The sequence below is a fragment of the Homo sapiens genome, chromosome 2 (assembly GCF_000001405.40).
Source record: "Homo sapiens chromosome 2, GRCh38.p14 Primary Assembly".
Classification (NCBI taxonomy): Eukaryota; Metazoa; Chordata; class Mammalia; order Primates; family Hominidae; genus Homo; species Homo sapiens.
In genome coordinates this window covers 230454633-230469937 of record NC_000002.12, presented here as the reverse complement: position 1 = coordinate 230469937, position 15305 = coordinate 230454633, and the positions used below count along the sequence as shown (strand labels likewise).

General features: G+C 40.0%; 1 protein-coding gene and 1 long non-coding RNA gene across 7 annotated transcripts in view; one reads left to right on the top strand and one right to left on the bottom strand.

The window, feature by feature from the left end:
• Positions 1–15305, bottom strand: part of SP100 (SP100 nuclear antigen) — a 129406-nt gene that overhangs the window by 75669 nt on the left and 38432 nt on the right. For 5 of the 6 annotated variants that reach the window (NM_001080391.2, NM_003113.4, NM_001206701.2 and 2 more), the window contains 6 exons: positions 8524–8676; positions 7420–7503; positions 5788–5871; positions 3584–3637; positions 2723–2818; positions 842–895 (listed from right to left, as the gene is read on the bottom strand). In NM_001080391.2, the coding sequence (NP_001073860.1) occupies positions 842–895; positions 2723–2818; positions 3584–3637; positions 5788–5871; positions 7420–7503; positions 8524–8676 (525 nt within the window). The remainder of the gene's footprint in view (positions 1–841; positions 896–2722; positions 2819–3583; positions 3638–5787; positions 5872–7419; positions 7504–8523; positions 8677–15305) is intronic. The other variant, NM_001206703.2, reaches the window with a different exon arrangement.
• Positions 1–15305, top strand: part of LOC101928816 (uncharacterized) — a 71871-nt gene that overhangs the window by 43368 nt on the left and 13198 nt on the right. The window lies entirely within an intron of this gene.

Here is a 15305-nt window from a genome sequence, read left to right as displayed (position 1 = left end):
CTGAACAAGAGAAGCTTGTGGAGGAGGGGGAGAAATAGTCCCACCACTAGGCCACCCTTTGGCTTTGATCATCTGACCTGTTGGTCAAGATTGCTCCAGGAGCCCTCTCTGAGGCTGGGGCTGGGGATGACATTGTTTCTTCTTCTTTTTTTTTTTTAACTTTGGGAAAAATATGTATTTATTATAAATCATCCATTTCATTGGGTGGTTTCAAATTAAGAAAGCAATATATGCTTGTCATAAGAAGACCAATGAATGCAAATGTATATAACCCCAAAGCTCTCTTTTCCTACCCTATTCTGTCTCTGGTCTCCCAGCTAGTGAAGTCAACAGATCAGTGTGGATCCTTCCATCGTTTTCTCCTATCTCATTCATGCATAATCAAATAAAAGGAACATACATAATGTTCAATCTTTTCTGAATACAATCCTAGGACAACGTTGTTTCTTACGCTTCTTAGGCTTTCATTATTAGTTTGCACATACTTCTGCTTCCATCTCAGTTTCTTATCCAAGGGAACCATGGAAGCAACATCTTAAAGATGTCAGAGCCCCCATCAGCTGGGCCCTGAATGACTGTGTGGGCACCCCCTCTACTCAGGAACTACTTTATCCTATTTATGTGAGTGAAAAATAAACTTATGTTGCACTTGTGCCTTTGAACATTTTGAGGCTTATGTTTTATACCAGCCCAACTCATCTAATTGAAAATGTAAAATGCAAATCATCTAAAATCCCAACAAATTAATTTTTTATTTTAAAGGATATAACATAAAAAGTGAATGTAGCTTTTGCAGCAAATAAAGACATTTGTTACATCAAGAGTTTTTAATTGCTCTTACGTCTCTTCCTGCTGGGTATTCTCCAAGTAGATGTACTTCTAGAAGTCATAGGAGCTAGAAAGTAAAGGAAAACCAAATCAATAATATCTAACTAAAAGATCTATAAATCTTATGACTGCTTACACTGTTGACAGAATTTGGACTATAAATATTCTATGAGGATCATTTCTGTCTCTTCCCATCTAAGGGAAAGAGATTACTATCAAATGGAGCACAGACCCACAATCCTTTAGCCCTAATTGCAAAATCAATGACTTTTTTTTTTTTTTTTTTTTTTTTGAGACAGGGTCTCACTCTGTCAGCCAAGCTGGAGGGCAGTGGTGCAATCTTGGCTCACTGCAGTCTTGACCTTCCAGGCTCAAATGATCCTTCCACCTCAGCCTCCCACATCACTGGGACTACAGGCATGCACCACCACCATGCCCAGCTAATTTTTTGCATTTTTTGGTAGAAATGGGGTTTTGCCATGTTGCCTAGGCTGGTCTTGAACTCCTGGGCTCAAAAGATCCACCTGCCTCAGCCCCTCAGCCTCCCAAAGTGTTGGGATTATAGGCGTGAGCCACCACACCTGGCCTCAAAGATATTTTAATAACCAGTATTGTTTTCATAGGTTTGCAGCTAACTAATTTGGCAGTGAATCTGGACTTGAGTTGCCATGAGTCCGTGTAAAATCTTATCATATTTGGTGTGAATATTTATATAATTTGCTGTATAAACATTAGTATATTTGAGAATGGGATTCTTCCCTGGATCCTACTAGGGTATTTTGTTGTATATAGAATATAAACCACATTGTCTTTCTAAAATAATAAAACATTTTTTGAACTTTGAAGTACATCTGGCTTTGAAGGTTTTATAGAGGATTATGAATGTTTATTAAGAGTTTGGGTTGTTAGTCTTGTCTCCTCCTATAACTTTCCATATGTGATGTGCAAAGAAAAAAGATCCTTAAGTGTGCCTTAGTTTCCCCATCTGTCAAATGGGGGGAACAATAGTTATCTCACCCACCTTTTAGGTTGTTGTAAAGATGCAAGTAGATCTTATTTGTAAATATATTTTCAAATATCACTATTTGGCCAATTTCATGTTGGGGGCCATCTGTCAAAAGCTATGAATTGAATCTGATGGTAAGAAACAGGAGGCTTTCTTTCTGTCAATAACTAGAGAGTATGACCAGAAGCTTTGGAATTTTGAACAAGTTGGTGACAAAATCAGGCAATAACAGACTAGTGTACTTTCTTTTCTTTACAAAACAGAGAATGAGCAGAAGTAGAAATCACTACATAAATCCAATACTTTGGAGTTAATAGGTCTGGCAGTGATATGGTTTGGCTGTGTCCTCACCCAAATCTCATCTTGAATTCCCATGTGTTGTGGGAGGGGCCTGGTGGCACGTAATTGAATCATGGGGAGAGATCTTTCCTGTGCTGTTCTTGTGATAGTGAATAAGTCTTACAAGATCTGAATGGTTATATAAGGGGGAGTTTCCCAGCAGAAGCTCTCTTCTCTTGTCTGCCACCATGTGAGACGTGCCTTTCACCTTCTGCCATGATTGTGAGGCCTCCCCAGCCATGTGGAACTGTAAGTCCATTACACCTCTTTCTTTTGTAAATTACCCAGTCTCAGGTATGTCTTTATCAGCAACATGAAAATGGACTAATACAGGCAGTATGTAGTAAACAGGCCACTGCCACTCAACCACAACCATCTTGTTAAGCCTGAATTTAGAGTGACTTCTTTCTTTGCATTTTTCAAAATGGCCAGATGAGGTAGATGCAGAGAACTGGCTCCTGGATAGCTGTTGTGTGTGCTCAGAGCACAGTGCATCAGGGAAGAGGTGCTCTGAAGTCAGAGCCCTGAAGTCAAGGGAGCTGTTCTTACCCTTCTCACCATGCTTGCTTCTCAGTGCCCCGCTCGAGGCTTCTGCGGGCGCCTCCTCCTCACTGGATTCTGAAAAGTCGTGGTCTTGTCCTATCACTGCAGAAAGGAGCAAATGTCCTTTGGAGCTCTCAATGTATGATAAGGGAACCAAGTCAGAATAATATTCTATGAAAAGGAAACTAGGAAAATTTGTGATGCTCTGAAACTTCAGGGCAAGAATGTCCGTGCCTCAAACCTCCATGATCTGCCTTTTCATTCAGATTTGTGTGGCTCAAGGTTAGTATTTTATCCCTCACTGTCACCTGAGCCTGAGGCTGAGAAAATTTTAGCCCCAGTGGGCATCTCTGCTTTGTCTTGGCCCTCTGTCTTCTTACACCACATTATCTTTCTTTCTTTACTTGTCCCTTTATGGTTTTGTTGTGGTTTTTGTATATGGATTTGTATTTATTTGTAAATTTGCTTCTCTCTCAGGGCAACCATGAAAGTCTAGGATGGGAGAAGGCAGATCTTCTACTTGCCTGCTTCCCTGAAGAACTGCTTGAAACAGAGCCCAACCTTTCCCTCATCTAAAAATCCTTGAAATATTCAGTTGAAAAAAATACAAACTTCTACTAAAAAAATAAAAAACCTTCTGTTGTGTTGGGGTCATTGACTTCTTTGGGTTCATATGTTATAGCAGTTAGCCAACCTCCCTAATACAAAGGCTAAAATAGGAACCATTGAAATTTAAAGCAAATTTATATTTTACTTTGAAGGATATAGCAAGGAATTAGACTGACTCTTTTGTAGAAAATATTGTTCATTTATAACCATGAAGAGAAGTTATTTTCTCTTACCTCTTTTCCTAAAGCTTTCTCTTACCTCTTTTCTTAAAACTTTCTCTGAATGTAGATAATTTTCTGAAATCCATGGGCTCTGTAAAGTAAAAGGGAGAAACCCGTTATTTGTATGCAAGAGACTTATAAATTCTATGACAACTGACATGGCAAATGGGCTTGGGTTAATAACAAAGTTTTTTTTTTTTTTTTTTTGAGATGGAGTCTTGTTCTATCACCCAGGCTGGAGTGCAGTGGTGCAATCTTGGTACACTGTAGCTTCTGCCTCCCAGGTTCCAGTGATTCTCCTGCCTCAGCCTCCTGAGTAGCTGGGATTATAGTTGTGCACCACCAAGCCCGGCTAATTTTTGTATTTTTAGTAAAGACGGGGTTTCACTGTGTTGGTCAGACTGGTCTCGAACTCCTGACCTCAGGTGATCCACCTGCCTCAGCCTCCCAAAATGCTGGGATTACAGACCTGAGCCATCGTGCCCTGCCAATAACAAAGTTTTGATGAGCGTTTTTCTCTCTCTCCTTCTAGTGAATCCAGTTCTGGAGGTTCAGGGTCATAATGTTGGGATCCTGCCCAGCTCTCTCCATAATCCTCTGTGTGTATTATTTGGAAATGCCTCTTTTTAATTAATTTTTTCAACTTCTATTTTAGGTTTGGGGGTATATGTGAAGGTTTGTCACATGGGTAAATGTGTGTCACAGGAGTTTGTTGTACAGATGATTTCATCACCCAGGTATTAAGCCCAGTACTCAATAGTTATCTTTTCTTCTCCTCTCCCTCCTCCAACCCTCCATCCTCAAGTAGACCCCAGCATCTGCTGTTTCCTTCTTTGTGTTCATAAGTTCTTATTATTAAGATCCCACTTACAAGTGAGAACATATGGTATTTGGTTTTCTGTTTCTGCGTTACTTTGCTAAGGATAATAGCCTCCAGCTCCATTTACGTTCTCTCAAAATACATGATCTCGTTCTTTTTTACTTATTTTTTTTGAGACAGGGTCTCACTCTGTCACCCAGGCTAGAGTGCAGTGGCACAATCGTAACTCACTGCAGCCTCAACTTCCCAGGTTCCAGTGACTCTCTCACCTCAGCCTCCCGAGTAGCTGGATCACAGGTGCACACACACTACCATTCCTGGCTAATTTTTTTTTTTGAGATGGAGTCTTGCTCTGTCACCCAGGCTGGAGTGCAGTGGTATGATCTTGGCTCACTGCAACATCCCTCTCCTGGGTTCAAGTGATTCTTTGGCCTCAGCCTCCCGAGTGGCTGGGACTATAGGCAAGCGCCACCATGCCTGGCTAATTTTTGTATTTTTAGTAGAGACAGGGTTTCACCATATTGGCCAGGATGGTCTCGAACTCCTAATCTCATCATCTGCCTGCCCCCGCCTCCCAAAGTGCTGGGATTACAGGAGTAAGCCACTGCACCCGGCCCATGCCTGGCTAATTTTTGTATTTTTGGTAGAGGTGGAGTTTCTCCATGTTGTCCAGGCTGATCTCAACTCCTGAGCTCAAGCCACCTACCTGCCTTAGCCTCCCAAAGTGCTGGGATTATAGGTGTGAGCCACTGCGCCTGGTCATAAATGACTCTTAAACACCACTAGCTCCCATTTTCTCACATATAAAGCAGGGATAAACTAGTTACCCTACCTCCCTGTTAAGGTTTTTGTGATGGGGAAATGAAGGTTCATTTTCAAAAGCCCTGTGAAAAATCACAATGTAAGCCAATAAGTGAACTATAATTTGGGTTTGGGTGTAGTTGAAGTCACTTTTTTTTTGCCATTAATAATTAAATAGCAGCACAAAGTATTCTTTGAAGACTTTCTGAGCTTGTGATTAAGACAATAATTATCAATGAACAAAGGAAGACTGTGCTTATCATGCTCTATCAAATATAAAGGGTAGTAGTAGAGAATAAGTACATTATTTCAACTCTTGAAATAATAACTCTTGATAGTTTGTTGTTAAAAAGACTGTTATTTTACTAGCATATTTTTGCTACATTTTCAATGTATCAATCGATTGAACCAATCCAGTTAAACAAGAGTTTATAACACCTTCCTAATGTCTTCCATTTCTCAACAGGGCCAGAGAGGTTAAATGTAGAAAGTGATATTCTAGAATTTATGGAATCAAGGCATAAGGAGACCACTCAGAATGAAATTAATCAAGAAAACAGAGCTCTGGATTTGTACTCTGGATATTCTACAGTCTCGGGTTGCAACTCTAATATTCTTACCTGGTACAATCTGGGGTCGTGAGCAAGTGGCTTCTTGGCCCTCCTTTTCATCATTTGATTCTAAAGGGTTGTCATTATTGATCACTGCACAAAAGAATGGGATTCTTTAGAGGTCTCAGTGTGTGACCAAGGAATCAGTTCAGTAGGAAATTCCCTAATAAGAAAACCTGGAAAACCTTGAAAATCCGTGCAAGTCCTCGCCTGTACACAGGCCATGCTTGTCTTGCCTTTCAACTAACCTTCATTGTGGGTTAGTGATACTCCATTCTTGTCCCCAGAGGGAATATTTGCCTTGCTTGGCCTTTGCTTTCCCACGCTTCTTTTACTTCTTATCCCTTCTGCTTGCCATTCCACATTTCCTTTGTTTCTGCTTCTATTTTTCATGCAGGGGGACCTTGAAGATCTTCTGTTAAATTCGTGAGCTTTTTCTACCTCCCACCAACCCAGTGCCTTGCTGAATTGTTTACAAGGCTGAGAAATAATCTCCTCATGTATTTGAGCCAAAGACATATTTTGGGACTATTTTTTACAGCAGATTGCTTACACTAAGTTCAAAGTTAGAGTACATATTGTCTAAAAACTAATGCAAATTTACATTTTACTTTGAAAGATACAGTGAGCAATTAGAATGAATGTATTATTACATTGTTATTTTATAACATCAAGATGAGGTTCTTCTTTGCTCTTAGGTCTTTCCCTAGTGTATTTTCCCTAAAGTGGCATATTTCTAATATCCTCTGGATCTAGAAAGTAAAGGGCAAAACAAATCAACCAATTTGCATACTTATGTTATGATAAGTATTTATGTTATAAATCTTATGACAACTCATGCTGCAAATAGGATTGAGATAATACAAGATTTTAATAATGTTTCTCTCTTTCATTTCACAAAGGAAGTAACTCAGAATCCAGGATGCTAGTCTTGTCTTTCCTTTAATTTACCATGAGATTTTGGAGATGACTTTGAAACATTTATGCAATTGTGTTCTCTCATCTAGGAAACAAGGACGAGAATCTCTCTTCTGTTTACCCCTTTAAGGTTATTGTAAATTTAAAAATAAGACAATTTGCAAAAGTCTTTCAAAAAATCACTAAATGTGCCATGACTTGCTGAAGAACTCTATCAGAAACAATACTTCAAGTTTCAGAATACTTTATCTCAGGTGTTTGTTTTTGCCAACACCAGATAGTTGGATGAGATGTCTTTTGACCCTATTCAAAGTTTGTGATCAGATGACAATAACATCTTCCCATAAAGGAATATTTAGTTTTCTGTTCTCTATAAAAATCACTATATAAATCTAACACTATATAGGCATAGCAACTAGTTAGTTTTAAAAACAAACTCATCACTTGGCTAGCCTATTCCTACTATATAATCAATGTATGGGTATGAATATTGATTAATAGAATCCATCAAGAAAGAAGGCTAATTCTCAAAAATAAGTTTATAACAATTTCTTGTCTCCCTGCATTTTCCAAAAAGGTCAAGTAAAATTAATGCAAAGAATGGGATCCCAGGATAAACTGGATCCATTGTACAGAATGAGCTCAGAATAAAATGCCTCAGGAAATAGTAGCTCTTAAATCAGATTCCCACAGCCCAAGCCTTGCTCTCCCAAACTTCCTTACCAGGCTCACTTCTCGGTGCTGAGATGAAGACTTCTAAGGGCTCATCAACGTCAGTGGATCCTTCAGAGTCCTCACTGCTGATGACTGCACAAAGGAGCAAAAACCATTAAGAGTCTCAGGGTGTGACCAAGGAGTCCATGCACCAGGAAATTCCACAATGAGAGCACTAGGAAGACCCAGGAAGCTAAGTTAACTCAAGACCCTGGGGTGTTCCTTGAATGCATGCCACCTGCAGTTTGTTCCAAGTTCTTAACCAAAAGCTGATAAAATTGACACACAGAAGGCAGTTGTGCCCATCCACTGACACTGTTCTTACCCCAACCCTCATTCTATTTTTTTCTTTCACTCTCATTTTACTTCTCATCTTTCCTCTTTGTTCTGCCATCTCCCCTGCTTCTGCCTCTGTTTCCAGCGATGGTGTCTCTTTATACCTCTCTTTGTCTTGATGTGTTTCCCTCCCCATCTCCTCTTGTGAATATCTTGGCTCTCTGATTTTTTTTTTAACTCCTCTCCCATGCCTTCCTCTCTTTTTTATTTTTTATTTATTTTTTCCTTTTTTTTTTCTTTTTTGAGACAGAGTCTTGCTCTGTTGCCCAAGCTGGAGTGCAGTGGCGGAATCTTGGCTCACTGCAACTTCCGCATCCCAGGCTCAAACGATGCTCCTGCCTCAGCTTCCTAAGTTGCTGGGACTACAGACATGTGTCACCTTGTCTGGCTAATTTTTATATTTTTTGTAGAGATGGGGTTTCGCCATGTTGCCCAGGCTGATCTTGAGCTCCTGGACTCAAGCGATCCCCCTGCCTTAGCCTCACAAAGTTCTGGGGTTACAGGCATGAGCCATCAGGCCCAGCCCTCTCTGACTTCAGAAATAGCCTCTCTGACATTCTTACTGATTACCTCCATTTCTGTCTTCTGGTATTTTCCCAACTCCTAAGGACTTTCTTCTGTCAAGCTGAAGACTCACTGCATCAGGTGCCAGCCCCTTTCCCTTCCTGCCTCCATCCCAGGCTACCTGCACTGCCCCGATGGTCCGTGATGAAGTCCCTGAGCCCCTTACCTGGTAACCTGTGACTCACAGTTACAAACTCTCCCAGTCAGCCTTACCTATTATGTCAGATGCCTGGTTATGATGAGTTCTTGCTTGGGCTTGGCACTCAACTTTTGAATTAGAAAATGGCTTTTCCTTTTTTATATCCACCAGTCGCACAGAACAGGAATTAATTTGGATTCCATGGTTGTGTAGCTCTGCCTCTGGGCCTAATTGTAATAAATGAAGAATTTTCATTTGTGTCCCCAGTGAACCTCCTTCACTATCATTAATAACTCCCCCTCTCTGCAATTTCACTGCTGGGGCTAGACCTTCACCCCACCTCCGTGTTTTTCCTTTTGCTCAACTCTGTCCCTTCCTTTGTGCCTCTCTTGGCTCTGTTTTGTTTTTTACCTTTCCCTTTACCTACTCGTCTCATTCTTTGATGGTTAATATTTTGCTTTTTAAAAAAAATAAAAATTATAATTGCAGTATAAGACACATGAATAAAAGTGGGTTTTGAATGATCACGAAGGAAGTAAATCACTTTGATCAAGAAACAGATTACCGGCCGGGCGCGGTGGCTCACGCCTGTAATCCCAGCACTTTGGGAGGCCGAGGCGGGTGGATCATGAGGTCAGGAGATCGAGACCATCCTGGCTAACAAGGTGAAACCCCGTCTCTACTAAAAATACAAAAAATTAGCCGGGCGCGGTGGCGGGCGCCTGTAGTCCCAGCTACTCGGGAGGCTGAGGCAGGAGAATGGCGTGAACCCGGGAAGCGGAGCTTGCAGTGAGCCGAGATTGCGCCACTGCAGTCCGCAGTCCGGCCTGGGCGACAGAGCGAGACTCCGTCTCAAAAAAAAAAAAAAAAAAAAAAAAAAAAAAAAAAAAAAAAAAGAAACAGATTACCAATACCCCAGACACCTCCTGGTGACACTTCCCATTAACTGTTTCCACTAACTTGCTCAAAGACAACTACCATTGAGGTTTCCAACACTAAGGTTAATTTTGCTTGTTGTGTAATTTATAAAAATGGAATAATCTCTTTTCTCTCCACTCTTTCTTTCTCCCTTTACCTCTCTCTCAATATATATAGATCTCCCAAAAGAAGCCAAATCCCCCAAAATTGTATGGATATTTTACTCAACATGCTTGTGAAAGTCATCTGTATTCGTTTTGTATAATTATTTTCACTACTAGATAGTATTCCATTATAGAAATAAGCCATGAATTATTTATTCATTTGTACAATTTCAAGCATTTGGCTTCTATGAATAATGCTGCCTTGAGCATTCTTTTCTATGTGTTTTGGTGACATAACACACATTTCTGTTGGTTTCTGCTGAGGAATATAATTGTTGGGTTATAGGGTATGTATATTTTCACCTTTGGAAGATTACCCCAAACTGTTTTCCCAAAAGCATATATAAAGGCAGAGATGAAAGAAAGAGAGCTTGGCAAATTCCAGTAAGTAAAGGAAGCTTAGTGTGGTGGGAATGTGGCATGAAAGGGCGAGAGGTGGGTGACGGGGAACGCGCAGGTGCGTGGTAGACATCCTTCAATTCACCACTCCAAGCAGTGTTGATCTACTGCTAAGGGCCACACGAAGGCACTGGGTTTCAAACAGGAAAGTCATATCAACTGGTTTCTATTTTGGAAAAGTCCATTCAACTGAAGTGCAGACTTGAGAGGAGCAAGACTGGGGGCCAGACAGGAGACTGTTCCTCTAATTTTAGTGAGAGTGACAGGGGTCTAGATTAGGGTGTTCGTGCTGGGGATGAAGAGAAATGGACAAGTTAGAGATATTTTAAAGTTGGGATTGACACAAGTGGCAAATGAAATGATGATTGTTTTAAGCCACTAAGTTTCAGGATAGTTTGTTACATGACACAGCAATAGATGACAGATGCAGCTTCCAAAGAGAGATGTTCTTCAGGTCTTTAAATAAAGGTCTTCAGGCAATTGGGGAAGGGAGTCAACAGGACAGGTCTGAGCTGGAGATGTATGTTTAGAAATCAACAGATCTTAGATGGTGATTGAGCCATGGAGAGGAAGTGATGCCTGAGGAGAGGCTTATTGTAATCTGGGGGTGGAGGTGGAGTCACAGGGGCCATTTTGATAAGAGGGCAGCTGATCTTTCTCCATAGTAATAGGACACCCTGTGCCTCCTTTCTAGCTCTTATCTCCTCAGATCAGAGAATGTCTTGATTTGTCTTCTCTCTTCCCTTCTTTGCATGATCCACTCTCTACCAATTTTTCATTCATTGTCCTTTAACTCATTTTCTGCATACTTCTCTTTGTGCCTCCCTCCATTTTTCCTATTTCTTGGTATTTATTTCCCTCTATGTTTTTTCTATTCATAGTCTTTTTATCTACACTTTTTAAAAATTATTGTCTCTTAGAGACAGAACCAGGGTGAGGTGAAGGTGGTGCTATGGGGTGCCTTGAAATTTAAGGAAGCTCAGTCTCACATGCCAAGTGAGGTCTCCTTACATGCTGTGCCCTGGGGGCCTCCCTGCCTCACCTCGTGCCAGGCCTGTTGTCCCATATGTAATGTTGCATCTCTGTTACATTTCCTACCTGCTTTGAGTCGGCCCTTATTTCTTAATTATTAACGTTACCTCTGCAAGCTTCTTCTATGTCACTTTTTTTTCAAAAATACTTTCGCATCTGATGTGTGAGTGCTATATCACTTTTTGTCTTTCTATATCTTCCTCATCTCAAACATTCCCATCATTACGAAAGGTCTCTTCCAGTGCCATTGTCTACCACACCAGAGGCCCTCCACTTGCCATTCCTTCCTGAAGGTCTTTCACCTGGGCTTCCTTCCTTTGCAAATCTGACAAGCAGCATCATGCATAATTTCTACGTTTTCATGATAACTTCTGAAAAGTAACTTGCAACATATTTCTATTCAACAACTCCACAACATGACAATGTATGGATACCATGTCACTTTATCTAAAATCTGTCTCACTCATACACAGTTGACCCTTCAACAACAGGGGCTTGAACTACATGAGTCCACTTGTATGCAGATTTTCTTCCACCTCTGCCACCCCTCAGACAGCAAGGCCAACCCCTCCTCTCCTTCCTCCTTCTCAAACTACTCAATGATGAGGATGAAGGTCTTTATGATTACCTATTGCCACTTAATGAATAGTAAATATATTTTCTCTTCCTTATGATTGTATTAATAACATTTTCCTTTGGAGATCTTACTTCATTGTGAGAATACAGCACATAATACGTATGGAAAATATGTGTTATCATCTGTTTATGTTATCAGTAAGGCTTCTGGTCAACAGCAGTTGTTAAGTTTTGGGGAATGTAAAAGTTATGTGCAAATGTTTGACTGCATGGGGCATTGGTACCCCTAACCTCCCACAGTGTCCAGGGGTCAACTGTGTTTTGTTATTTAATATTCCCTAGTTGACCTCTTTTGTATTCTTTCTTCTTGCATTCTCTAACCAGGGACAGTCCCTCTGTTAAAAAGACTCACTCTCTTTTTCCCTTCCATCTCATACCTGTTAAAAGCAGCCAGAGGCTGTGAACAAAGTCTGTGTGTCTTGGATGAGTGTAGGCAGTTAGTATGAGAAAACAAAGGGAAGTTTTGCCCTTATAGAAAAATAAAGATATAATTAGAAAATTGGGGAGAAGTAGAGCAAGATGGGAGAATAGGACTCTCCAGCCCTCCATCCCCTGCAGAAACACTGATGTGAACAACGACCTATGCATGAAAATACCTTTGCAAGAGCTGAGGAAACCAGATGAAAGATCACAGCACCTGAGTGAAACACAGAAATAAGAAAGAGCACATTGAAAAGGGCAGGAAGAAAAGTTTCACTGTGTCATCTTCCCCAACTCCAGGAAGCACAGCATTGAGCAAGATACAATATGCTTGGGGAAAGGAGAAGGAAGTGAGCACCAGACTTTGCCTTACACCCAAACCACAGAACCGACTTCAGTAAAACCCAGCTCCCAAAGCCCCAGACTCTAGCCAGTACCCATGGTCTGAACCTCCAAGCTCACTCTGACCCCAACCTAAATCCTGCAGCCCCAGGACTCAGGCCAGCCCTGCGAACTCAGTCTTCAGCCTCCTACAGCACTATTTCAGCCTCAGTGAACCCATGATCCAGACCAGACCGAGTGCCAAACTGGACCAAGTGGCACTGGGCTTGAGGCCCATCCTAGCAGCAAGCTGGCTTCAATAGCACTGGGCTTCATGCCTACTGAAGTGCCTGAAGAAGCCTGCATCAGTGGTGTAGAGCCCTGCAGATTCTGGCTCAAGGTTTCCCCCAGCACAGACCTGCCCACTGGTTGTCCTAGGCACCAGACTAGCCTGCTTGAGGACTCTAGCAGCAAGCCTGCCCTTGTACCATGCCAGATGGCCATCTTAGAATCTTTAAATAGGGTGAAAGGCTTTCCCAGACAAAGTCAGCCTGCAAAGACTAGAATAGTTTCTACTTTCTCAAATGTACAGACATAAATGTAAGGCAACAAGAAACATAAAAACCAAAGAGACACAACATGACCAAAAGAACACAATAATCTCCCCATAGCAGACCCCAAAGTAATGGAGATAACAAACTGCCTTATGCAGAATTCAAAATAATTGTTTTAAGGAATCTCAGCAAACCTTAAGAAAATATAGGAAACAATTCACTAAAATTAGGGAGACAATAAATGACCAAAATGAGAAAGTTTAACAGAGATATTGAAATTATTTAAAAAATCAAACAAATTCTGGAGCTGAAAAATACAATGAATGAAATTTAAAAAGGCATCAGAGAGCATCAACAGCAGAATTGATCATGCAGAAGAAAGAATATGAACTCAAAGACAGGTTATTTGAAATACAATCAGAGAAGAAAAAGAAAAGAGAATGAAAAGTCATGAAGAAAGCTTACAGGATTTATGAAACACACCAAAAGAGCAAATATTTGAATCACAGGAATTCATAAAAGGGAAGAGAAAGACAAAAGTAGAAAGTTAATTTAAAGAGATAATAGTATAAAGCTTTGCCAATCTGGTGAAAGACATAAATTTCCAGGTACAAGAAGGTCAATGGTCTCCAATCAGATTCAGTGCAAACACGACTACACCAAAACATACTATAATCAAGCTGTCAAGATTCAAGGACAAAGAGAGAATCCTGAAAGCAACAAAAGAAAAGAAGCAACTAACATATGAGGGAGTTTTAATAAGGACAACAGTGGACTTTTTAGCACAAACCTTACAGATAAGGAGAGAATGAGATGAAACATTCAAAGTGCCAAAGGAAGAAAAAGAAACCTGACAACCAAGAATACTTTTCTTGGCAAAGCTGTCTTTCAGAAATAAAGGAGAGATAAAGACCGTCCCGGGAAAACAAAAGATGAATACATTCATTACCACCAGACCTGTCTTACAAGAAATGCTCAAGCTGAAAGAAGTAAATGCTAACTAATAATATAAAAATATAAGAAAGTATAAAACTAACTGGTAAAGTAAATATATAGTCAAAAAATAGTAGCTACAATAATTTTTTAGAGTATACACTATATAAAACTTGTAAACTCTGACATCAAACATTTTAAATGAGGGAGCAAAGTAAAAGTGCAGTTTTTGTAGGCAATCAAAATTAAGTTGTTATCAGCTTAAAATAGCCTGTTATAAGATGTTTTGTGTAAACTTCATGTTAACCACAAAGCAAAAACTTACAGTGATTACACAAAAGATAAAGAGGAATCAAAGTGTATCACTAGAGAAAATCACCTAATCACAAAGGAAGACAGTAAGAGAGAAAGAAAGGAATAAAGAATCTACAGACAACCAGAAAACAATAAACAAAATGGTTTTAGAAAGTACTTACCTATCAGTAATTATATTAAGTGTAAATAAATTAAATTCTCCAATCAAAAGACATAGAGTGGCTGAATGAATTTAAAAATCATGAACCAAGTATATGTGGCTTGCAAGACACTCACTTCACTTTTAAGGAAACACATAGACTGAAAGTGAAAAGATAGAAAAAGATATTTCATGCAAATGGAAATGAAAGAAAGAAAGCACAGGTGTACTTACGTCAGATGAGATACAGTTTGAATCAAATAATATAAAACAAGGCAAAAAAGGTCATGATAAAACCAGGCATGGTGGCTTACATCTGTAATCCCAACACTTTGGGAGGCTGAGGTGAAAGTATTGCTTGAGCCCAGAAGTTTGAGACCTGCCTGGGCAACATAAGGCAATCCTGTCTCTATAAATAACTAAAAAAAATTAGTCAGATGTGATGGTACATGCCTGTCATCTCAGCTACTTGGGGGGATTGCCTGAGCCCAGGAGGTTGAGGCTGCAGCGAGCCATGATTGCACTAGTGCACTCCAGTCTGGGTGACAGAGCAAGACCCTGTCTCCAAAACAAAAACTAAAACAAAAAACAAAAGAAACAAAAAGAAAGAAAGAAAATAAGAAGGTCATTATGTAATGATGAAGGAGTCAACTTATCAAGATGATATAACAATTGTAAACATATGCACCCAATATTTGAGCAACTAAATATATAAAACAAATATTAATAGATCTGAAGGAAAGAGAGACTAATACAATAATACTAGGGGACTTCAACACCCTACCTTCAGCAGTGGACAGATTGTCCAGGGAGAAAATCAATAAGAACACATCAAACTTAAACTATACTTTAGACCAAGAGGACCTAAAAGGCATATATAGAATATTTTATCTACAAGCAGAAAAGTACCATTCTTCTCAATTGTACATGAGACATTCTACAGGATACATCATATGTTAGGCTACAAAACAAGTTTTAACAAAGTAAAGAAGGCTGAAGTTATATCAGATATACTTTCTGACCAC